At 35.1% G+C, this 27,626-nt stretch overlaps 1 annotated feature.

Annotated features, from left to right (window-relative positions):
• Positions 2,497-3,696: an enhancer, noted in NCBI's record as "BRD4-independent group 4 enhancer chr5:120609330-120610529 (GRCh37/hg19 assembly coordinates)". NCBI's record gives its function as "activates an origin of replication core promoter dependent on BRD2, P300/CBP, MED14 and CDK7 cofactors, and independent of BRD4, by STARR-seq in HCT116 cells {active_cell/tissue: HCT116}" and the evidence as "EXISTENCE:reporter gene assay evidence [ECO:0000049][PMID:35650434]".

Consider the following 27,626-nt stretch of genomic DNA (forward strand, 5'->3'; position numbering starts at 1 on the left):
GGACAGCTTTGCCCCTGTGGCTTTGCAGGGTATCACCCTCCTCCTGGCTGCTTTCACAGGCTGACATTGAGTGTCTGTGGCTTTTCCAGGCCTACGGTGCAAGCTGTTGGTGGATCTACCATTCTGGCATCTACCATTCTTCTCACAGATCCACTGGGCAGTGTCCCAGTAGGAATTCTGTTTGGGGGCTCCAACTCCACATTTCACTTCTGCACTGCCCTAGCAGAGGTTCTCTATGAGGGTCCTGCCCCCGCAGCAAACTTTTGCGTGGGCATCTAGGCATTTCCATACATCATCTGAAATCAAGGCAGATGTTCCCAATCCTCAATTCTTGACTTCTGTGCACCTGGAAGCTCAACATAATGTGAAATCTGCCAAGGTATGGGGTTTATACCCTCTGAAACCATGGACTGAGCTATACCTTGGCCCCTTTTAGCAACAGCTGGAACACAGGGCACCAAGTTCCATAGGCTGCACACAGCTGGGGGACTCTGGGCACAGTCCAGGAAACCATTTTTCCTCCTAGGCTTCCAGGCCTGTGATGGGAGGGGCTGCCACGAAGATCTATGACATTCCCTGAAGACATTTTTCCCACTGTCTTGAGGATTAACATTCCACTCCTTGTTACTTATGCAAATTTATGCAGCCAGCTTAAATTTCTTCTCAAAAAATGTGTTTTCCTTTCCTTTTGCATTGTCAGGTTGCAAATTTTCTGAACTTTCATGCTCTGTTTCCCTTTTAAAACTGAATGCCTTTAACGGCACCCAAGTCACCACTTGAATGCTTTGCTGCTAAGAAATTTCTTCTGCCAGATACCCTAAATCATCTCCCTTAAGTTCAAAGTTCCACAAATCTCTAGGGCAGGGTAAAAATGCCAACAGTCTCTTTGCTACAGTCTCTTTGCTAAAACAGAGCAAAAATCACCTTTGCTCCAGTGGCCAACAAGGTTCTCATCTTCATCTGAGACCACCTCAGCCTGGACCTTATTATTCATATCACTATCAGCATTTTTGTCAAAGCCATTCAACAAATCTCTAGGAGGTTCCAAACTTTCCCACATTTTCGTGTCTTCCTCTGATCCCTCCATACTGTTCCAACCTCTGCCTGTTACTCAGTTTCAAAGTCGCTTCCAAATTTTTGTGTATCTTTTCAGCAATGTACCACTCTACTGGTACCGATTTACTCTATTAATTCATTTTCATGCTGCTGATAAAGACATACCTGAGACTGGGAAGAAAAAGAAGTTTAATTGGACTTACATTTCCACATGGCTGGGGAGGCCTCAGAATCATGTCAGGCGGTGAAAGACACTTCTTACATGGCAGCAGCAAGAGAAGAATAAAGAAGATGCATAAGCAGAAACCCTTGATAAAACCATTAGATCTTGTGAGACTTATTTACTACCATGAGAACAGTATGGGGAAAACCAACCCCATGATTCGAATTACCTCCCATCAGGTCCCTCCCACAACACATGGGAATACAATTCAAGATGAGATTTGGGTGGGGACATAGAGCCAAACCATATCAATGCAGGAATGGAATAATGAAATCATTTACATTATAAAAAAAGAGATTTAAACTTCATAAAATGATTTAAAAAAAAGACAAATTTTCCAAAACCCCTACTTTGGTATGTTTTTCTTTTCCTCTTACTCCAACAGATGAACAAATGAAGTAGACGAATTACAAGGTAGACGATTTTCTGTCTGAACCCATCATTCGGTATTTCTCAGTGTGGATCACCTTGTCTCTTTTCTCCCAATTTTATTCACCTACATTGTTAAAAGAAAAGTAATTATATTAACTAATACATTGTTTGTTAAAATATCTGACTGAAAACATTTCAATATCAATTATGATCTTCAGTAGTTTTTCATTTTATATGTTCACGTCAACATTTTTTATAATATTTTTTGAGTCTATATAATTGCATTCTTAATCTTATTAATCATAACTGTTCTGCAGGATCTGGATTTTCTCTTGTGGTGCAATTTATTAATTTGTAATCAATGTACTTTATTTTTGTTAACTGAGATAGGTTGAAAATAAGAATTAATTTGTACAAGTTAGGTAAGGCACTTTTTTTTTTTTCTTTTTTTGAGACAGAGTCTCACTCTGTCACCCAGGCTGGAGTGCAGTGGTGCTATCTTGGCTCACTGCAACCTCCGCCTCCCGGATACAAGCAATTCTCCTGCCTCAGCCTCCCGAGTAGCTGGGACTACAGGCACGTGCCACCACACCCGGCTAATTTTTTGTATTTTTAGTAGAGATGGGGTTTCACCGTGTTAGCCAGCATGGTCTCCATCTCCTGACCTCGTGATCCACCCACCTCAGCCTCCCAAAGTGCTGGGATTACAGGTGTAAGACATCACACCCATCCGGTAAGGCACCATATTTGCTGAAGTAAAAAATTGTAACTCACTATGGTATATTTAATTATCAAATTTTTCCTTCATCATTTTTTTATATGTAAGGTATTCTTGGTTACCTGGTAGATGCATTTAAATTAAAATGAATTAAGAATACTAATTTCAAAGAATGTTTTGTCTTTCTAAGAAGTCATTTCTTACATGAATTTTATGATTAAAAAATAAATCTCAAACAGACAAGTAGTTCCATCTTCCTGTTTGACATAGACCTTATTATTTAAAAATATGTATTAAAATAAAACATGAAACTGCTGAGAGATTACCTAAATCATTCAAAAATGCAGTTTTATTAAATTGTATTTACACAGTATTCTAATGTATTCATTTTTTTAGAAAAAAATCCAAGTGACAAGATTATTTTTATGCAACATTTCCTCAGAGGAGTCATTGCAAACTATACAGTCAGTCTGTAAGCAGACAGGGAGGGTCTCCAGAGATTATAGGCAATTAGTCAACCAGAGCAATCAGCCTGTTTTAGAGCCTATGCCCTGCAGGCTGTTTTTCCCCAAACACTGTGTGGAATATGATCACTTTATTGGTTGGAATCATCTTCTGACAGATCCTGGCAACTTATAGATGAAGCCAAGTGAACTTTCCTCATTACCATGCTAATGTCTCCACCCCCAGAAATGCTACAGCTTCAATACCGTGACATGCGACCTATGAGTTGGCATAATGACTCACTGTGTTTGCACTACTGGAACCCCTCCTTTACATGTAATGATTCACTCTCTCTTCTTTCTTCCCTCTCATAAAACTGCCTTGTCACTTTCCCTCAGAAAGACACTGCTTTGGAGAATAGTTCCTGTGCCTTCCTTACTTGTACCAAGTAATAAAACTTCTCTTGATCAAAACCTGCCTTCTCAGGAAGAGTTCTTTGTTACCAGGCAAATAAACCCCGTTTTTTGGGGGTTAACAAATCAAGCATCTCAAACTTTGGCACTCATGTAAACTATATCTGCTTATCTTATTGTAGCACTGATGGAGCTATTTTAGCATAATTCAGAAATTAAATACTGAAATTCTGCTATTAGAATATTTTAATAAGTCAATTTTAAATATTAAACTGTATGTAGGTATTTATTTAAAAACAGGGTGAGCATGTCCTAATATATACATTTACATTAATTGTTTCTTATCCTAGGTAATTTAAATTGCAATTTTCTCAGTTCCACATCTCAACTTAAAAACTATTTTAATTTTAAAATTATGTTAATTTATCTCTTTTAGTTTTTACTGTTATAAAAATAACATTAAGTAGCTTATCAAGATAATCTCTCTTTTGTTGCCTTATTTCTCTTGTATTTAATATGATAATTACTTTAAAACCTCATTATGTGTTTTGTTTCCTCAGGAAATCATAAGAGCATTGTTTATTTACATTATACTTTTTAATACATGAAGAGACAAAACACAAGCACATATATGCAAATCAATGAATGCAATCCAGCATATAAACAGAACCAAAGACAAAAACCACATGATTATCTCAATAGATGCAGAAAATGCCTTTGACAAAATTCAACAACCCTTCACGCTAAAAACTCTCAATAAATTAGGTATTGATGGGACGTATCTCAAAATAATAAGAGCTATCTATGACAAACCCACAGCCAATATCATACTGAATGGACAAAAACTGGAAGCATTCCCTTTGAAAACTGGCACAAGACAGGGATGCCCTCTCTCACCACTCCTATTCAACATAGTGTTGGAAGTTCTGGCCAGGGCAATGAGGCAGGAGAAGGAAATAAAGGGTATTCAATTAGGAAAAGAGGAAGTCAAATTGTCGCTGTTTGCAGATGACATGACTGTATATCTAGAAATCCCCATTGTCTCAGCCCAAAATCTCCTTAAGCTGATAAGCAACTTCAGCAAAGTCTCAGGATACAAAATCAATGTACAAAAATCACAAGCATTCTTATACACCAATAGCAGACAGAGAGCCAAATCATGAGTGAACTCCCATTCACAATTGCTTCAAAGAGAATAAAATACTTAGGAATCCAACTTACAAGGGACATGAAGGACGTCTTCAAGGAGAACTACAAACCACTGCTCAATGAAATAAAAGAGGACACAAACAAATGGAACAACATTCCATGCTCATGAGTAGGAAGAATCAATATCATGAAAATGGCCATACTGCCCAAGGTAATTTATAGATTCAATGCCATCCCCATCAAGCTACCAATCACTTTCTTCACAGAATTGGAAAAAACTTCTTTAAAGTTCATATGGAACCAAAAAAGAGCCCGCATCGCCAAGTCAATCCTAAGCCAAAAGAACAAAGCTGGAGGCATCACGCTACCTGACTTCAAACTATACTACAAGGCTACAGTAACCAAAACAGCATGGTACTGGTACCAAAACAGAGATATAGATCAATGGAACAGAACAGAGCCCTCAGAAATAACGCCGCATATCTGCAACTATCTGATCTTTGACAAACCTGAGAAAAACAAGCAATGGGGAAAGGATTCCTTATTTAATAAATGGTGCTGGGAAAACTGGCTAGCCATATGTAGAAAGCTGAAACTGGATCCCTTCCTTACACCTTGTACAAAAATTAATTCAAGATTGATTAAAGACTTAAACGTTAGACCTAAAACCATAAAAACCCTAGGAGAAATGCTTTTTAAAATGTTCTTTCAGCTACCTGCCCAGCAGTAGGATTGCTAGATCATACGGTAGCTCTATTTTTAGTTTTTTGAGGATAATCTATACTGTTCTCTATAGTGACTGTACTGTTTTAAATCTGCACTAGTAGTGTATAAGGGAAATCAGTATGTTGAAGAGTTAGCTGCATTCCCAAGTTTATTGCAGCACTATTCACGATAGCCATGATATAGAATCAACCAAAGTCTCCATCAACAGATAAAGAAAGAAAATATGGCATATATACACAATGAAATATTATTACAATGGAATCCCGCCATTTGCAACACCATGGGTAAAACTAGGGAACATGTTAAGTGAAATAAGTGAGGCACAGAAAGACAAATATCACATGTTCTCACTTATGTGGGAACCAAAAATGAATTTTTGGAGATAGAGAATAGAATGATGGTTACCAGAGGGTGAAAAGGATAGAGGGGAGGGCAGGATAAACAGTGTATGGTTAATGGATACAAAAATATAGAGTTTGGTAGAAGAAATAAGATCTGGTGTGTGGTAGCACAATAGAGCCACTATAGTTAACAATAATTTATTGTATATTTCAAAACAACTCGAAGAGTTGATTTGGAATCATCCTAACAAAAAAAATGATAAATGCTTGAGGTAATGGATATCCCAATAATTCTGATTTAATCATTACATGTTATATGCTTATATAAAAATATCATATGTGCCCCATAAGTATGTGCAACTGGCATTTAGCAATAATAGTTAAAAATTTAACAAAATATCTTTTCAAAGTAACAAATATAAAAATCAGAATAAATATTCAAAAATTACATGAATAAAAATGTAAAATTGTATTAGAAAATCAAAGAAAAACTGAATAAATAGAATGTTACCTTTTCTTCCCAGACAGGAAGATGATTCTCAAAAATACAAATACTTCCTTTACTTAATCTATCAATTTTACATAATTGCAATGAGCTTATTGTTAAAAATTAAATGAATTATAAATTCTATCTGAAAAATAAAAATGAACATAACATGAACTTTTTGAAAGAAGAATAGATAGGAAAACATATGCTATCAGATATTAAATCCATTAACAAGTTACAACAAGAAGAACAAGGTGGTGATATCTGAAGAATAGATGCTCATTAGAGCAGGAAAGAATGTCCAGAGTAGATGCTCATTTGTGGGACATGATAAAGTTGGCAGCTCACATCAGTGAGAAAGCATCATTCAATAAAAATGTGTTTATCTGTCACATTACACATTAAATTTCAGGTAAATTATAATCATAAAATATAAATAATATACATAGCATATTGGAAATGTTTACCTAATTATTGTTGGGAAATTAATCATAAAAACAAGAGTAGTTTATGATTTCACTTAAATTTTAGAAATTGACAAGAGAAGGTTGTTCCCAGCCTAACAAAATAAGAAAGACCCACCACAGGGCTGAGTACCAAGGCAATCAGTTGAATTCCAAAGAAGGTAAGCTTCTCAAATATAATTTTATAAAAAGGACACAAGAAAGGTTTTCCTTTTGGAACACACAGAAGAATGAAGTGGCAATTATAAAGTGTGGTAAGATTTCACTATAGGGAATAAGCATAAAATAAAAATTAACAATCACTATTAATGTATACAAATTGCCATAAGAAAACAGTGAAATGCCCCCAAAATGAGAGAATTATCAGAAGATATGACATTTTTAAAGGTCAGGATTTAGTTGCAGAGAACAGAGTCTACTCTGACTAGTTTAAATAGAAAGAGCTTTGATTACTGTTAACCTAGGTTTCATTTTAAATCTTTAGGAGAGATAAAGAAACATACTAAGTTGGACTTTATGGAATGGCCTCCAAAACCAAACAACAGATCTTGTCCATTGAGGAACTTCATCCCCTTCTATGATAAGGAATCTGACTGAGTAATTAGGAAGTTTCAGCAATAGCTGCTGGAACTCTAACTCAGTTGCCACTTCTGAGTTAGGATGCAGACATGAATTGGCTATTACAGCAGCCTGCATTAGAAGTATTGCATACATGCTGTAATACACACCAGCAAATCCAATGTATCATACATGAGACAGCCGTGAAGCCAGACTATGAACCACAACTGCTGCTATTATTTCCATAAGAAAAAAAAATAATACATCCAGATCTTATTTGTCAGTGAAAACAGCAGCAGAAGTAAAATCTGTGTCTTCTGCTGGCTTACAAATTTAGAGCATATCTGAATGATATACAATATATCCCAAATTCCTTCTAGCTTCTAGGTATAACCCCAGGCTGCAAAATAATCTAAAAACTACAGTTTTTAGCTTTCCAGTCTTTGTACAGGAGGCATTTCCTGTAAAAGTGGGCTGACATGTCCATTTTATCATGGACACCGCAGTGTTTGCACTGGGCCTTAAAGACCAATATATTTCAGGAGGGTGACACTGGGAGGGGATCATAGACAGAAGAAACCATGTTTACAAAAGTAAAAAAAAGAAAAGGCATAAAAATTATACGTAGCTTCTTTTGCAGAAGCATAAACAGATTGGGTCAATGATAGCTGGGGCGTCGCACCAATTTGGAATGCTACTTTATAGTAGTTTGGTTTTGTTTTAGGAGAAATAAGAAGCCTATAAAAGTATTTAAAATTAAAAAATAAAAATGTGCCAAATCCTGCTATAAAAACTCAATTAGGATGATATGAAATATCAAAATAATTTTAGTAAATTTTAATATTCTTCCTAACTTGTCGGTTTACTCAATATAGTATGTGTATATATAATCAATGAGAATCATTGAAAAGAATCATAAGCCAGTTTGAAAACTTCCTTAGAAAAATGAATTTGGAATTATTGAGTTATACACGTTCTCATGGTTTACAGCAAAATGCTTAGATTTTATAAACTGTGCAATTTGAATCTTCATGTTGATAATATAATATGCAGCATTTTTCACAATTATCTACCCAGAGAGTTATATTTCCTTATAGCATTCTGGGGGCTAGTGTTTCATGAAACAGACTTTTGGATATACTGACCTAAGTCATTGATTTTCTCAATTATTTCCAGACTCCTTGAAAAAATGTATTAAAAATTTGGGTTAGGTCACCATTTAATTTATCTTTGGATATTTTATTTCATTTTTAATGTACTTTTCTTACACATTTACAAAACTAGGCCATTCTTAATTTAAGGTGGCAGCTGGAAGGGAAAGATAGCATGGACAATTACATTTGTAGATTATTTTTCAAACATCTTTTATCCATTCATGTAACACCTCCCCACAACAAAGATGTTTATCTTTTGCTAAGAAATAGTAAAAATTTATAAAATTGGCAAAATTTCCTTTCCCGTCTTACTGTTACCTAATAGGATAAAAAAAAAAGAGTTTAAGAGAAAGTTGTAAATGGCTGCAAGCTACAAAAATTAAATAAATGAAACAAATTTTTGAAAACAAATAGGTGAGACTTGATCCTAATGATTTCAAATTATTAGGAATACTAACTTATTTTTAAAAGATGTAGAATTGGTATTTTAGCAGATATCAGAAGAAAATTTGCAGTAGACAATCAGGGAGATTTTACTCAAGGCTATTGCAGTAGAGTGGAGGCCAGAAGTCAGTCTGAGCTCACCTTCAATTCAAAGAAAAGACTGGAGGTTTTAAACAGCTGCATAGAGAAGATCATGGGCTGTTCCTTTTGATAACTGGCTTTGCCTCCTACCCCCTTCCAAACAAAGTAAGCTTTCTCATATTTTTATGACACGAGGTTGTTTCACAACTTGGAGCAAGGCATTCTGCATAAGTTATCCCTTCCCAGATGCTGGAAGGTGTTCATGCTATCTCCCTATGATTACATTTTGAAGAGATGACTTTCAGATCCTTGAGGAACAGCCCTGGCTTGTAAAACTTGTAAGAACCCTTTACAAAGATTTATATCTCTTCGGAGGCCAAGGCGGACGGATCACCTGAGGTCAGGAGTTCAAGACCAGCCTGGCCAACATGGCGAAACTCCGTCTCTACTAAAGATACAAAGATTAGCCAGGAGTGGTGGCAGGCACCTATAGTCCCAGCTACTCAGGAGGCTGAGGCAGGAGAATTGCTTGAACCCGGGAGGTGGAGGTTGCGGTGAGCCAAGATCCTCCCATTGCACTCCAGCCTGACCAACAAGAGCGAAACTCCATCTCAAAAAAAAAAAAAAAAAAAGAAAAGAAATTAGCCATTTGCTCCTGCATGTTCCTGTCAGGTGGATCACTTCAGGTCAGGAGTTCCAGACCAGCCATGGCCAACATGCAGAAACCCCATCTCTACTGGAAATAAAAGAATTGGCAGAGTGTGGTGCCCATGCCTGTGGTCCCAGCTGCTAGGGAGGCTGAAGCGGGAGAATCGCTTGTGCCTGGAAGGTGGAGGTTGCGGTGAGCAGAGATTATGCCACTGCACTCTAGCCTGGGCAACAGAGCAAGACTCTGTCTCAAAAAAAAAAAAAAAAAAAAAACAAACCTACAAGTTCTCACATTTATGACTGTATTCACAATATGTCTGAAATGTTTCTCTAGCCACTCATTAAATTTGCTGTATCTCTAAAAAAAAAAAATTACATATCAAAGGAGCAGAAAAGGGATTTACAATTATGAGTGTTTGTTTTTTGGTACTGTTTTTGTTTTTTTTAGTAAATGCTCTATAAAGAGGGAAGTCAAGGACCTAAAGTCGGGAATACACCTGTCTGTCTAAGCTTTAGTCAAGCTGAGTAGAACATTAAATCTATCTTGGGAACAGATAACCAGAGGGGATGGATGTGACATTTTTTGGACATTTTCTCAATATTAAGCCAAAAGATATGCATTGCTAGATACACAGATAGGTAGAAGAACATATCAGGGACTAAAGTAACCAGTTTACTATCTCTTTGTTTCCAAAACAATCTGTTTACTAAAAAACAGAGCAAGAAGGGGAAGATTTTTATATCCTTCCTTTGAAATCATTCTCTGAAAAACAGTTTTTTAAATGTTAAGAAACATCTTAATCCCAAAATCCCCATTACAAATGAGAAATTGTCACATACTAATACGTACAACTCTACTGTGTAACACAGCCATATAGGCCATAAAACCGAAGCTGTCATTTCCTTCTTTGAAGTGAGAGTAGCTTTGATTCACACCAGAGCCTTATCTTTTCTCAGTTTGCAAACTGATATCACCAATAAATCTCTCCTTTATACTATTTAGCCATCCTGGTGGTCCTTTGAACAGCCAGGACTCTTGATAATAATGCACTGGTGTTCTCAATGTGATGGCTCTGATGAAATGGGATTTGTGATTCTTTTTCCATAAAAGTGTTTTAGAAAATTATGACTGTGTTATTTATGTATTACAGAGTTGTGAGGTAGTTGTTTTGATTGATTTTTTTTTAATACTTAGTTCTCTTTAGGACCCAGAGAGAAGTCCATGATAGAAAGGATATTATATTGACCAACATTCTCAGCATCCTATCTTTTGTCTGTCCTTGAAGCTTTGTAAGTGTGTTAATGCTTGTGGCATCTGGCCAACTCTTTATTGAAGATAATTTCTTTCCATGTGATATGGTTTGGCTCTGTGTCCACACCCAAATCTCATCGTGACTTGTACTCCCATAATTCCCACATGTAGTAGGAGGGACCCAGTGGGAGATAATTTGAATCATGGGGGTGGTTTCACCCATACTGTTCTCATGGTAGTGAATAAGTCTCAAGAGAACTTATGGTTTTATCAGGGGTTTCCACTTTTACATCTTCCTCATTTTCTCTTCCCGCTGTCATGTAAGAATTTCACCTCCCAGTATGATTCTGAGGCCTCCGCAGCCATGTGGAACTGTAAGTCCAATTAAGTCTCTTTTCCTTCACAGTCTCAGGTATCTCTTTATAAGTAGCACGAAAATGAATTAATATGGTAAATTAGTACCAGTAGAGTGAGGCATTGCTGAAAAGATACCCGAAAATGTGGAAGTGACTTTGGAACTGGGTAACAGTCAGAGGCTGGAACAGCTTTGGAGTGCTCAGAAGAACACAGGAAAATGTGGGAAAATTTAGTACCTCCTAGAGATCTGCTGAATGGCTTTGACAAAAATGCTGATAGTGACATGGACAATAAGGTCCAGGCTGAAGTGGTCTCAGATGGAAATGAGGAAGCTGTTGGGAGCTGGAGCAAAGATGACTCTTGTTATGTTTTAGCAAAGAGACTAGCAGCATTTTGACCCTGCCCTGGAGATTTGTGGAACTTTGAACTTGAGGAAGATGATTTAGGGTATCTGGTGGGAGAAATTTCTAAGCAGCAAAGCATTCAAGAGTTGACTTGGGTGCTGTTAAAGGCATTCAGTTTTAAAAGGGAAACAGAGCATTATAGTTTGAAAAATTTGCAGCCTGAAAATGTGATAGAAAAGAAAATCCTATTTTCTGAGGAGACATTCCAGCTGGCTGCAGAAATTTGCATAAGCAACAAGGAGCCAAATGTTAATCCCCTAGACAATGGGGAAAATGTCTCCAGGACATTTCAGAGGTCTTCACAGCAGCCCCTCTCATCACAGGTCTGGAGGCCTGTGAGGAAAAAGTGGTTTCCTAGGCAGGGCTCAGGGTCCCTGAGCTGTGTGAAGCCTAGGGACTTGGTAACCCTGTGTCCCAGCCACTCCAGCTCTGGCTGAAAGAGGTCAAGGTAGAGCTCGGGCCATGGCTTCAGATGATGCAAGCCCCAACCCTTGGTAGCTTCCACTTGGTGTTGAGTCTGCCAGTGCACAGAAGTCAAGAATTGAGGTTGCGAACCTCTGCCTAGATTTCAGAAGATGTATGGAAATGCCTGAATGTGCAGGCGGAAGTTTGCTGCAGGGGTGGGGCTCTCATGGAGAACCTTTCCTAGGGCAGTGTGGAAGGGAAATGTGGGGTCAGAGCTCCTACACGGAGTCCCTACTGGGTCATCACCTAGTGAAGCTGTGAGAAGAGGTCCACTGTCCTGTAGACCTCAGAATGGTAGATCCACCGACAGCTTGCACCATACAACTAGAAAAGCTGCAGACACTCAATGCCAGTCCTTGAAGGCAGCTGGGAGGGAGGGTGTACCCTGCACAGCCACCTCTTACATCAGCGTGACCTGGATGTGAGACATGAAGACAAAGGAGATCATTTTGGAACTTTAAGATCTGACTGTCCCACTGGGTATCAGACTTGCATGGACCTTGTAACCCCTTTGTTGTGGCCAATTTCTCCAATTTGTAATGGCTGCATTTACCCAATACCGGTACCTCCATTGTATCTGGAAAGTAACTACCTTGCTTTTGATTTTACAGGCTCATAGGTGAAAGGGACTTGCCTTGTCTCAGATGAGACTTGGGACTGTGGACTTTTGGGTTAATGCTGAAGTGAATTAAGACTTTGGGGGACTGTTGAGAAGGCATGAGGTTGGTTTTTCAAATGTGAGGACACAAGATTTGGAGGGGCCAGGAGCAGAATGATATGGTTTGGCTCTGGGCCCTCAACCAAATCTCATCTTGAATTGTACTCCCATAATTTCCATGCATTGTGGAAGGGACCCCGTGGGAGGTAATTTGAATCATGGGGGCGGTTTCCCCCATACTGTTCTCGTTGTAGTGAATCAGTCTCAAGAGATCTGATGGTTTTATCAGGGGTTTATGCTTTTGCATCTTCTTCAGTTTCTCTTGCCACCACCTTGTAAAAATTGCCTTTTGCCTCCTGCCATGATTCTGAGGCTTCCCAAGCAATCTGAAACTGTAAGTCCAATTAAACCTCTTTTTCTTCCAAGTCTCAGGTATGTCTTTATCTGCAGCATGAAAACTGACTAATACACCAAGAATCTGTTTAGATATCCATATACAAAGATTTCAAATTAAACAACACTATACATTTTTTGACCATTCTCCAACACATTCGATTTTCAGTTTAGGCTTAATCAAGAGTCTGTCATATTCAGTTTGGGCAGGTATAGACTCCTTTACTCATGTGCTCTTTCTGTCTTATATTAATTCAAGAGTGTCAAACTGTGGTCTCAAAAATGTGTTCATTTAAAATAAATATATAAGTTTAAGTTTTACTTTATATAAATCTTACACACCATTTTCAGAAATAATTAAAACACCAATTTATTATACAATTTATAAAAAAGGCATGGCCTAATTACTCACGTGAATTAACAAACTAGTATTTCATTCAAGCAAGCATCTATCATGTGTCAGTCTAGGAACTTAAATACAAAAATTAAATAGATTAAAATCCTCCCGTGGACAGAAAAAATATATATATTCATATATATATATGTATGGTATATATATGCTATATATAATATATAGTATATTATGCATATATGTATTATACATATATATAGTATATTGTGCATATATATACACACATGGTTTCCACATGAAAAAATTAAAATTAAGAATCTGTCTTCCACGTATATACCAGTTAACATTCTATTGCTTCTTTTGAACTATGGTTTTCATAATTTAAAAAATAAATATAATAAAATATTTTATTTCTTTATAATTAACTGTGACAGTTTCTTCAGTTTAAATGTGGCTCCTTATACAGAAACTTTAGAAAAAACATACAATTTTTTAATAGAAATTCTTAAGGAGGTAAGATAGTGAAGTTTTCACATCTAAGAATCCCAGCTTCTATTTTTTATTGTGTCACCTAGTAACCATAGAAAACTACTTGATTGCTGTGAGTCTGTTCCATCATCTGTAAAATACAGCTAGTAATAGGTTCTTGAAAAATTAGTTGCAGGAATTGAACAATATGAGTATGTTTGATGTTATACCTGGGACATAGTGAGCATTTACTGCATTGATTATGTTCTCCTATTATTCTCTCAAAATTAAGACTATTTGCAAATCAGACTCATGTCAAACTTAAGACAACTAGTAAAATTTAGATAAAAATGACTTTACCAAATTTAGATTATTTTCTTCTATTTACCCCCCTCCCCCACAGTTACATTTTGAATAAACCACTTATCACATTCTGCCTTGAATTATAGTTTTAATCTTATCTCATATCTCCTGATATATTATGAAATTCCTAATGGTCACAAATAAATAAAAATATCTCTATGTTCTGAAGAATGCTCTTGTAAAGAGCTTTGCTCAAAATACATGCTTAATAAGTATTTTTTGTGTTTTTAATTTGTGAATGTAGCCCTTTAAATTTACCAATTTTTCTCAATAATTTAGTTTTTAAAACAATAAAGCATACCTCATTTTAGCAGCACTTTGTCAGGAAGAATTGATCATATTCACCTTAAAAAATATTCTTGTTTTGTTGTATTTTGTTCAATTTAATTTTAGTCATCAGTATTTCCAAATGCATGCAAACATAAATCTCATTTATTTTTGTATCTCCAGGTGTCTTTTAAATATATTACTTCTGTTGTATGGGACAACCAAGATAAATTATAGGATATTATTATGCAAGACAGAGCAACAGAGTACCATTGGGCCCTATTCACTCGATTTTTACATGTCTTTTATGAGCTTATGGGAATTTATACATTCAGAAAGAGTTATGTATCCCAACTATATAAATTCACTATCCTTTTTTAAGCAGAGCACAGGATTTGCTGCATGCAGCCTCATTAATGATCTGTCTCAGGAGTAAAGAAACCACCAAGGAGATCAACTTGGCAAGATTTTCACTTCAGTAAGTAATAGCACTCACAGGAGAGAAATTCTAAAAAGTTTCCAAATATGCCATATGCATATTAGAACAGTTAGGAGAAATCATAAGCAATGACTCCCTTAAGCCCCATTAAACTTCAAGTTAGCCAAATTAGAAACCTTTCCTTGGAAAACAGGCAAGCATATCTAGAAAGCTATGAGTATTAAGAGTCTTGGATTCTACCCTTGATCTTCCTTCTGACTCATAACGTAATTTGAGCAAGTTATTTGAAGATTCTCTTCCCTTTTTATTCCTTCCAGAAAGTCAGGATTGAGAAATAGAAATCTTTCATTAAATGGACAGAAAAACAATGAAGAAAAAATAAAGTAGGTTTTAGTTTCCCATGTAAAAAGTTACTGACTGAAAAAGTCAACAGCTGACAGTAAGATGAACAGTATGTAAATTTAGATCTCTTAGACTGTCATCTAAAGAACTGAGAATTGCGGCACGTTCAACACATGAGTAAGTGGTATCTGAAAATGCATCGGCAAAGAAATGCTTGCTAAGTTTGGCACAATTGATTGCCTGAGAGGTTTTCTATAATTTTTAATTCTTTTCATATATTGAACATACCCAACCAGTCTTCCAACAATAGCAACAACAGCAAAAGGGGACAGAATAATTGTTTTTAAAAAGGGGAGAATGGAGGCTTTTTAAAATTAGATTTATTAGTTTCATCACGACAGTGGGTATACAAAAGAAAATAGAAAGTATTTATTTCCTAATTTAGAGAACTCTGGGAACTGAGGTTTAAGGGAATGCTATGGTATCAGCTCTGAGAAAATGTTCTTGCCGTTGCTTGAGCTACTGCTTTTTCAAGGGAAACCACAAAGACAGGACTAATTCAGAAGTAACTAAAATTTATACATTGATATCATTGTGTGTGTTAATCCTCAATAACCATGAAGTAAGTTTCCTTATTATCCCAGTTCTACCGATGAAGAATTAAAGTCTCAGAAAAGGTAAAAGAAATGTTTTTAAGTCACACACCATTGAAACAGTCTTTGTAAAAATTCTAACAATGAGAAAATTATGACAGTGAAAGAGATCTGACCCAACCAACTCCAACTTGCCTTTAACCTCCAAACAGCCCTTGTTAATTCCTGAGCTTAGTTTGAGCTAACTGGAGGGGGAATTTAGTTTACAGTTTGACTTTGAAACAAAGATGATGACAGCACTTTCCCGAAACAACCCCCACTCCTTGCCTGGGAACCAGACCACATTTGGAGAGCTAACCAATTGGCCACAATATTAGAAATTAGGGTTTAGGAGTCATGCACACAGAGGCCACAAGTTTCCTTACCTTCTCAAATGCTCCTATAGATAACATCACTATTGTAAAACCTAAGATTGGGCTCAAGACATTTTTCAGTCTACATTCTGATGGACCAGCTGGCATCACCCAGAACAATAATGTGGCTCAACTAGTTCTGTGATCCTACCCAAGAACAGAAGGCAGCAAGAAAAACCCACTTTGACCCCCTGTGATTTCATCTGTGACCTGACTAATCAGCAGTCCTTATTCCCTTGCCAGCTGCCCAACAAACTATCTTTATTTTTTTAGTTTTTATTTTTAAATACTAGATAGTTAATGTTATGTTTTACACAAATTTCTAAAATGGCAATACTGCACTACAGAGAATAGTAATCCTATATGATCAAAATTTCTGCTGTTCTTTAAAATTAAGCTAGTATTGTTACAAAAATAATAATAAAATGATGATTATTGTAAAAAGTAATGATATTTTTTATTTAAGTTCAGGAGTACATGTGCAGGCTTGTTACATAGGTAAACTTGTGTCATGGGTTTTTTTTGTACAGATTATTTAATCATCCAGGTACATTAAGCCTAGTACTCATTAGTTGTTTTTCCTGATCCTCTTCGTCCTCCCATCCTCCAATAGGCTCCAGTGTGTGTTGTTCCCCTCTCTTGTGTCCATGTGTTCTCATCATTTAGCCCCCACTCATAAGTGCGAACAAGTGGTATTTGGTTTTCTGATCCTATGTTAGTTTGCTAAAGATAATGGTTTCCAGCTCCATCCATGTCCCTGCAAAGAACATGATCTTATTCTTTTTATGGCTGCATAATATTCCATGGTGTATATTTACCACATTTTCTCTATCTAGTCTATCACTGATGAACAGTTAGGTTGATTCCATGTCTTTGCTATGGTGAATAGTGCTCCAATGAACAAATGTGCATACGTTTATTTATAATAGAATGATTTATATTACTTTGGGTATATACCCAGTAGTGAAATCGCTGGGTTCAATGGTAGTTTTGTCTTCAGATCTTTGAGGAATCACCACACTGTCTTCCGCAATGGTTGAACTAATTACACTCCCACCAACTGTGTATAAGCACTCCTTTTCCTCCACATCCTTGCCAGCATCTTGTATATTTTGACCTTTCAATAATAGCCATTCTGACTGGTGTGTGATGGTATCTTACTGTGGTTTTGATTTGCATTTCTCTAATGATCGATGATGTTGAGCTTTTTTTTCATACGATTGTTTGGCCGCATGTGTGTCTTCTTTTGAAAAGTGTCTATTCATATCCTTTGCCCACTTTTTAATGAGGTTGTTTTTTCTTGTAAATTTGCTTAAGATCCTTCTAGATGCTGGATATTAGGCCTTTGTCAGAAGCATAGTTTGCAAAATTTTCTCCCATTCTGCATGTTGTCTCTTTACTCTGTTGATAGTTTCTTTTGCTGTGCAGAATTTCTTTATAATTAGATCCCATTTGTTAATTTTTGCTTTTGTTGCAATTGCTTTTGCTGTCTTTGTCATGAAATCTTTGCCCATGTCCTGAGCGGTATTAACTAGGTTGTCTTCCAGAGTTTTTATAGTTTGAGGTTTTACATTTAACTGTTTAATCCATCTTGCATTGATTTTTGTATATGGTGTAAGGAAGGGGTCCAGTTTCAATCTTCTGCATATGGCTAGCCAGTTATCCCTAAACTACCTTTAAAATACCCTAGTCTCCTCATTTTTGAACAGAGTGACTTGAGTAATAATATAACTTTGCCTCCCATTTAGCTAGCTCTGCCTGTGTTACACTTTCTCTGTTGCAATTTCCCTGTCTTGATAAATGGGCTCTGTCTGAACAGCTGTCAAGATGAACACATTCGGCAGTTATACCACATTGTTTAATATCTAGAATTCAGTTTACTTGATAGCACAGTATGAGTTTTTTCTAAATGTATATAATACCATTTAAAAAAATTCATTGAGTATACAAAGATAACACTCTAAAAGGTTATTATTAAGAAAATATCACAAAATATATGTATTACATATGCTAACTGGATGCTTTTGTGAGAGAATGTGAGCCAGTCTACCCAAATTAAACATATAAAAGATGCATATTTTTTAAAATAGGCGAACTAATAAAAAAGTAATGTATCTCAAAAAATAAAGTATTAGTAAATTAAATCATTTAGTTTCTCAGTTTTCTAATTGCTAACAAACACTTCAGTGTGTTAAAAGAAAATATACAACTCACACAAAGATATATTTCCTCCTAATATTAAAGAAGGAGTAATATTTGTTGTTGTTTTACTCTTTATATAAGAGACACCAGATGTATAACAAAAAGGGAATCATATTATAATTATGTCAGAAGATATATTATTAAAATGTACATGTATTTTTGTATATTTGTAACAATAAAGACTTCAAAATATATTTTAAATCAGGAAAGCCAGTTCTAGGGAATTTACAATCACATAACCTCATCTTATTTCCTTAGATCATCTAGATCCACATTTCTTAGAATATGCTATAGAAAAACTGGGTTGGCAGGATTATAACAGGGGTTATTAGATAAAAAGCATCCCATGATAAATAAGCTTGGAAATTGTGAGTGAAATTAAATAGCTTTATTTACTTCAGGGTAATCAGATCTTAAGTTGTGACAGTGGATACTTAAATTTTCAGGAGGTAATTATGGTCGGCAGCATTTCTCAAGATCATTTTACCGTACATACATTTATCTTGGAGGATCTTTTGGAAATTTGCTTTGAAAAGTAAAGACCTAATTTAATACTGTGACAGAGCCCCAGAAATCTAGGCTCATGATCTTGTCAACATAAAAAAAATATAGAGAGAGATGAATGTTCCCAGAATTCTCTAAACCAGAAAATACATAGTTTCTTCTCTCTTTCTTATTCCCTGGTCTAATGTTCAATTGTGGTGAACTGCCATGATAAAACCAAGAATTCTAATTTTAAAAAAGATTCCATTCTCTTTTTTAAAAACTAATTTTTCTACTCTCTTTTGTTTACTTACATATCATATTTAAAATTGCTTATAGGTACCATAGATAAAATCTACAGCTTTCATAGTTTGGGGAGATCAGATATGGAGAAAAGACAAACATTTCCATTTTATTCATAACAGTATAATTTACCAAGTTTCTGTAAGCTATAGGTACCTTAAAAGAAAAAAGTTTCCTTAAATGTGAAATATACAATATTTAACAACCAGCAATATTTTAAATAAGTCATAAAATTCAATTGTTCAGCAGTTTAATCCTTCATAATTATTGTTCTGTTTAATCTTGTATGAATTTGTCTGTTATTTTTAATATAGTTCTAGAATTTTTTAGCCTATCTATCTATTGATTTTTACAATTATCAGAAACCTGTATTTAAGAGGACTTGTTAGTCTTTTTCATGCATCTATTGTTGATGCCCTTCTAGAAGAATCAAAACTGTAGGTGAAAAAAATTAGAATAGCCATGGTTAAATATCTGATGAGAATTCATTGTAACTAACAATTAACAAGAACATTTAGTTACTTCTATTTTATTCAGTATTTTAAAATAACAACCAGAGTAATGACTGACAGCATTACACCAGGATCATCAGAACTTTATAAACTTTACATGGGTTTTAGAATATTCACATCAAGAACACATTCACATACATGTAAGTTAAAGAAGATTTAGCGTCACTTATTAGAGATGACTGTTTTTCCAAGAAATCCGAAACCTAATAAAGACAGTAAAAAGCACAAGAAATCATCTTAATAAAACACAAAATCTCCATTTCGTAGGCGGATTAATTAAAAGCTAAAGAAAAACCTGCTGCAGTATGATTTTTTCCTTACAGAAAGCACATTTAGATAAGTTGGAAGTTGAACTTAATGAGAAGGTACTTGAATTCAAGTAGACATTGAAAAAGTGTACGTCTAAGGTTATCAGTATACGCCATATTATAGAAGAATAATGTAAACAAGAAAATCAATACTTTGAGCAAGGGCATGCATGGCTTTTAGAAAAAGCAAAAGCATGTGAAACTTCCCGGATACATGAAACAATTTAGGCACATCAAGAAAAGTGAAGAATACAGAATCAACTTATACTGAAGGAAAGATTGTTCTCCTAGGTCTTTAAGACAAGCATTCTCAGCATCAGGCCACAATAGCAGTCAGAACTGGAAAAAAAAAAAAGGTACAGGAATTAACAAAAAACAAGTTGGAAAGAGTCACCAGTTTAGTTAAGCAAAATGGTGTAGCATCTCAAGGAGAGAAGGAAGGAAAGCAGAAAGCAATGATGTAGTGAGATGCAGTAAAACACTGAATTATTGAGATATGAATCTAAAAAACTTGAAAAACTCTATCTTGAGAAGTAAAATTATTTTAAAAGCACAAGACATCACTTCCAACTTAAAATTTGGTAGGAACTATAACACAGGAAAAAGCTGCGATTCAAAAGATAGTTTAATATTAAAAAAATCAGAATTAAAACCAAAACCTTTTTCTGGGTGCAGAGGATCATGCCTGTCAAAGGCATTTGGGTTAATTACTATATTTTTGATAAATTACTTGATAAGCACTTAATTTTTTCTTTAAGCCAGTCAAGGTCTGTTAACAAAAGGCCATGAAGTCTGTGGAGGAAAAATAAAGGCAAGTTACATTTTTTTTGAAAAAAGTAATCTGCAGATCAGAGGAGACCAAGCATCCTGATTAGTAGAAAACAGCTGAGTCCCAACTGGGCAGTTTCCAAGTCCAAAGCAGAAATCTCTGTTGAAAGCCCCTTGCAGGCAGCTGGTGGGAGGAGTTTTCTGACACAGTGTCTCACCTAGGGTTATAGGAACCATCTTAGCTCAGAGGCAAAACAAGATGTTTGTCTGGAGCCCTCTCCAGAAACATGGGAAGCATGGCTGCCCTTTTCTCACTCAATATGGTTCTGGGTTAGTTTCATGTTACAGGTCTTTATATGTTTTGATGGAAAAAATATCATATACATATAACAGACATAAAAATTACGGATGAACAGAATATCTTACAGAAAATCTTTATAGTTTTTATTTTAAAAATCATGACTAAAACATAATATTATAAATTGACTGGTTTGTAAGAAGAGAGTTGGATCCAAATTATATTTCAGACAAAGTGGGTTAAGGCTAAATTTAAGATTTTTTAAAATTGTCTTGAGAAGTAACCTTATGAAGGCTGTGAACCAAATTTTGGGTAAAGCCGTTAGAGTCAGTTACTAATATGCTGGATTGAACAAAACATAGTTAACTGTGAAAATGTACCAAATTATGTAAGGAAGCTTAAAAGATAAAATAATTATTTTTATAAGATCTGTACAGTATGTTCTTGATTTCAATTCTTTGTCCTTGAAGATAAGAGTGCTGTGTTTCCTTCTAGTATAAGGAGGGTGTCTGTTACATGAAATTTTTATCTTTTGCTCTTTAGATGCAGCAATAAGGTCCAAATGATTTTTTTTGTACCTGCTGTTTTTCAAGTGTTTTTCCTGAAAAATTCAATATGCCAGAATAGCTGAGGAATTTTGGAAAAAGGAGAGTTTAGCTTAGAGAAGAATAAAAAGGAAGAGGCATAGGAAGGGGAGTGGAAGGCTCTAGAGGGGAAAGTTTCAGCTAGCTTTGAGGCAGCATTTTGTAATGAGGAAGTCTGAGTCCTGAATGTGTTTGGCAACCTCGAGATATCAGTTGAGATATGGTTCCTACTTGGACTGTATACTTTTATAGCCACAGTTTTTTAGTTTAGTTCAAAGCAAAACAAGCTGTTTGATCCCCATCATGTTTGAACATGTCGCCAGCTGAAATCCCAAAGAGGGGTACTATCTTGTCATGCCTTTGAACTTTGAGAGTACATGTTGTAAATAAATTTATCTAGAAGACTTGGTGCTAAGGCTGGACACATCTTCACACCTTAATTCGTGCTAGGGTGAAATATCAGACATGCAAAACAAAACCAAAAAGTAAAGTACATATTCACCCCAGGAAGGACAACAAAGCATTCTCAACAGGAATGAATTCTCAACAAATATTTAAAATGTGTTCTTTACCTATGTGTTTTAAAATAAGAGTTCAAAAACCTTCATAAACCAGCAGCGAAAAGCCTCATTTGAATAGGATGCTACATAAACAGAAGAAAGAAGTTCCTCATAAGTTCTCACAAACAGAAGGGCAAAAGATCCCTCATAAGCAAATCCCAAAGAAAACCAAAAAACTCAACCAAAACAAAACACTGGAAGTTTAATCTATGCAGTACTCTCCATGGGTAAATAGTCAACCTGTGGAAGCAGGAATGTCAAGGGTCCCGAGTTTGGGTACGGCATGCCTTATGTAGTTCCCAGAACCACTGGTCCCTCAGCCCCTACTTCTGACACCAGATTTTGTCAACATAAACATTTTCTTTCAAATACGAAAGAAAAATATTTTATTTGGAAATGATATGCAAGAAGTAGAATTATGATCTAGGACATACATATAGGCTTCAGAGAAATCTGGAGAAGAACAAAGCAGGTGTTTATTGGGGAAAGAGGAGGTTGTGAAAGTTGAAAGAAAGCACATTAGTGCTGGCAGTGTCTTATAAGAGCTGGTAAATTCTGATTCACAAACGTGAACAGGATTTCTAATCTTGGTAGGATTTGTAATCTTTGAGTTATAGGTAGGCCCTTGCAGTTTTGGATTGGGTGTGTGAGACAGTGATGTCAGGCAAGTGTTCTTATATACCCACTAGCTATCTTTGTGCTGCTATCTGTTCTTGCATAGTTCATGTAGTGAGCTGCTGTTTGGAAAAATGCCTTGTGACAGTTCCTGTTATTAGGCAAATCATGCACGAGAGACTTTGCTTTGTGGCCTTCCCTGGCTCCATTGCCAGGATTTGACACAAGTGATTTTATTTTGAATTTTATAACTTTCACACATCCATTTTGATTTCTCCCTAAGTGCTAAATCACAACAAATTCATGGTTTTAGGCCAAAATATCAATGCTTTGCATTGTTAAGTAGGTTATATTCCAGCTCCTTCACTTACCGGATACAATCAAGGAGATCTATTCTGCCTTTTAAAATAGAAATAAATGTGCTTGCTGTATAATCTCACCATTTTATTTTCTCAATATCCGGGGCAATGGAGTTGCCAGACCATCAGGGTGTCTGTGTTTGTTTCTTTCTTTGCTTTATAAAAGATTTTTGTATTCAGGAATTTTATCAACCACCTGTTGAGCAAAATAATTCTGGGACATATATAATGTGGAAGAAATATAGAATTATCTCCTCCATATCACATGTCCCAGAATTCTTTTGCTGGGTAATGTGTGGAACAAACACAAAATGGGTGGCTTAAAACAACAAAAGTATACTTTTTTCTCATATTACTGATTAGCTACAGGTTAAGTCATCTGTTTTGTGTGTGTGTGGTGTGTGTGTGTGTGTGTGTGTGTGTGTGTGTGTGTGCTACTTCTATAGGGAAGAACGGTAATGGTAGGGAAAAGATATTTAAGCCTCATATATATATATATATATATATATATATATATATATATATATATAGTGAAGTACATATTTATTTCAAATAAGCTACCAATTTTTATGTAGTAATATTTATCACAGGAAAAAATAGAGGTTTTTAATATATCATGTTCAATTGTTTTAATTTTTAGTTCCCACAGATGAGTGAGAACATGAGAAGTTTGTCTCTCTGTGCTTGGCTTATTTAAATTAACATAGTATCCTCCAATTCTCATTTATTTTTTATAGCTGAATAGTACTCTATTGTGTATATGTATCACATTTTTTCTTTATCTATTAATCTGTTGATGGACACATGGTTTGCTTACAAATCTTGTCTATTATGAATAGTGCAGCAATAAACATGGGAGCTACACTCCCATGATATTGCTTTGATAAACTGATTTCCTTCCTTTTGGGTACAAACCTAGCAGTGGGGTAGATGGATAATATGGTAGCTCTACTTTTAGTTTTTGAGAACAAGGAAGCTTTTGCAACTACTTATTTAGATATAAAATTTTTTAAATTGTATTTATAGCTAATTATATTAAATGCATTAATAGGTTATAAATTGATTTCAGATGCAAAAACATATGTCAACTTTCTTACAGGTGTATTGTGATATCATACGATAAGACTTGTTATTTGGCACATTCTTTTTGCAGAAATTTGAAATGTAAACTTCTCTTGTATTTATTTCCAAATACAAATATTGTGCTTTAAAATTTTGTATCAGCATATTTGGTTTTTGTCTTTGTTTTTGTTTTTACATGGTGATTTATTAAATTCTGGGGTGTAGCACAATATACAATAACAAAATACCTGTTTTAAAAAAAGAGTTCAAAAATTATGGCCAGGCGTGGTGCCTCACATCTGTAATCCCAGCACTTTGGGAGGCTGAAGCAGGTGGATTACCTGAGGTCAGGAGTTTGGGACCAGCCTGGCCAACATGGTGAAACCTCGTGTCTACTAAAAATACAGAAATTAGCCAGGCATGGTGGTGGGTGCCTATAATCCCAGGTACTGGGAAGATAGAGGCAGGAGAATTGCTTGAACCTGGGAGGCAGAGGTTGCAGTGAGCCGAGATCATGCCACTGCACTCCAGCCCGGGCGACAGAGCGAGACTCCATCTCAATAAATAAATAAATAAGGGAGGCATATTTGTTTAATACTTAGCAACACTATATTATTTGTCACTAACCTATTGATTACATGGCTTTACATCTGACAGCAAATTTTCTTATTTACTTTTTTGTTTTTTATATATTTTTATATACTTTATATATTTTTCCATAATTTTCTTTTTATAATTTTTCCCCTAAAAAACTTTAGAATAATTGGTTGTTATCATTAAAACATCTTGGTAAATCTTGACTACAATTATAGTAATACTACAAAATAATTTCACTCAAAATGTGTTTATCATATTGTTTCTGCATTTAAATAAGAATTGAAATATAAGTAAAATAAAAGAAAGAGTTTTGGCTTCTCATCTGTTACATTCATCTCACATTTTGTTTGGAATATTTTCTCAGTTATAGAGAATAAGCAAAAGAGCAAAAATATTGAAATATGCTTAGTATATTGTATAGAATATATTTTTTCAGTGTTTATATTTAGAGAAGGGCAAGAAATTGTAAGGCACTTACATTTCATAAGTGAACCTCAACAAACAAAAGCAAAAATGTCTATCCCTTTCAGCCGATAAATATGTCATTTAATTATTTTCATAAAATATCATGTAGCAAACCAATAATATGGTTTGCATAAAGTGGAGATCTAACACTTCTTGTAGTTGACCAGTTTAATCCTATAATACTTAGTGTTAAACTCTGATATCCAGACAACAGAACGAGTTACTCACTGTCAAAAATTCTCCACCCTGCACAAGAGAGGAAGTGTTGTTTTCATGACTGTTTGTAATTCACCAATTAACTTACCACACTTTCTTGTGGAAATGTATTAACTTTTCTGCAGTCATAATGACAGAAACATTTTGGCTATTTCTTTTCCTAGCTAGTATTCCCAAAGCTAAGCCCTGTGATTCTGTTTGAAATCAAGCTAAAATATAACAGACTTCAGAATCTTACTACATTCACTCTGCAAAATTAAAAAAAGAGGAAGTAAATAATAATTTTTAACAAATAGACTATGAACTAGATTTTTGTTTCTGAAGGCCACTTCTTTCTTGCCTCTTAGAAAATATTATATAGAATATTTTAAAACAATAGATGATTAATAATATCTTGGACCTTATGGCTACCATGAAAATGTGTTACTCAGATCTTATGTGGGAAACATAATTGACTGATCCCAGTTTTATAGCTCTGGAACCACTACTGCCTTCACACTATGGGCACACTTCCCCCAGGCAGCTCCCAGCCAATGACTGAGCATGGCAGGGGTATTAAGCAGGCTCATTCTGGCAAGATGTGCATTTTCCAAAATCTGACTCTGGAAAAAAGACTTCTTGTACCAGCTGAAATTTTCTTGCAACTGAGGGACTTCAGTCTGAAAGTCTTCTTACCCAGTCCTTTTTCTGCCCTCTCCCTTTCTACATTTGTCAGACCCGCATCGTGGTCTTAGGGGTCTTGCCTGACTCTCCTGCTCCCAGACCCAATACATCTTTTGCACATTTAATTACATCTTGGAATATACTTTCAATAACTCATACTTGCATAAAGTGGAGATCTACCAAAATTTACTCATTTTAAAAGACTATAGCTATTATTGTCTCCAAGCAATCTAAAAATGCCTCGTGAATGTTTATAAGGTTATTTTTAGATAAACATTTGCTTCTTGGAAAATCGATTTAAACCCAATCTAATAGCCAAAATGTGAACATTTTGTTCAGAAGACTGGCAAGTAGTTCAATTTACATCCTGCCTCATTCCGTATTGCTTTCCACATGACATTCTATCTTAGATACATACATAGGCATGCCATTTAGTGCTTAAATCTCAAAAATTATTGCTTCCTGACTTTGATGTAGCCCCCAGAGTCAGAATCAAGAAAATAAGTAATACATAAGAAGTATTTGGGCAGAGCAGGTAGAAATTGTCAAATAATGTGAAGTTAATGTATATTTCAGCTTGGTCAATATTTTGATAATGAATCCATACAGAAAAGTGTTTTCTCTTAAGGATTTCTCCTTCTGCCAAATATTATCTATGTTTTATATTTTAAAGTAATATTAATTTATTATGTCTCTAATAGACATCAGTGGAAAGTAATTTTAGACAGAAAATGTTGCATCTTTTAACCTATATGCAATATGTCCATATAATTATATATGTTTACAATAGAATAAATATTACTCAAGCTCAAGTTCATTTACCATCATCCATGATTAACATTAATGGCTCAAATCACTGGACGAATCTTTAAAGTGCTGTCATGGTACCAACAGAGAATCAAATTTTAAATGATATCCTACCAGATCCTTCTTTTATTCCACTTTTTGCTGTGGGCATTTATGAGATTGTATCTGCTTGGCCTCCTAATCAAATGTGGCTGAGTTTATAACAAATTCTTCTTTGAAGCCATCATTTACCCTGACTATGCTGTAGTTGAACTAATGACTTGGTGGATAGATTTGTCAGGACCTTCTGCTAAGATTAATATGGTCTTTCTTTCTTAGGCAAGTTAAAAAGAACAAAAAAAATGTACAGGGGAAAACAAAAAGCAGTAAGATTGGAGGAAATAGCAATGAATATTGGTATTATTGGAAGTTTCAACTATCCTTGTTTGAACTTATATCAATACTATCTATATTATGTCTTTTGATAAATTTTTTGAATTATTTTCATGGTATCATAATAATTCAATCAATCAATTTACAGAAAAATATATATGAGAAATTAAAATTTATTTGATTTTACTATTTTTGCATTTGGCAAATAAACAGACATAAAATGATAGGAATTAAATGTCACACAACAGTATAAAAAGTATGGATAAGCATAATAAATATTACTTGAAAAACTAAAAAGAATTAAAGTTTAGATTCGGAGAAATCACAAATTCATAATGTAGTAAAATATAGTTAGCTATCAATATAATCATGTAAAAGATATGTTATGAATTATTTTCCAAAAAAAGT

The sequence above is a fragment of the Homo sapiens genome, chromosome 5 (genome assembly GCF_000001405.40).
Source record: "Homo sapiens chromosome 5, GRCh38.p14 Primary Assembly".
Lineage (NCBI taxonomy): Eukaryota > Metazoa > Chordata > Mammalia > Primates > Hominidae > Homo > Homo sapiens.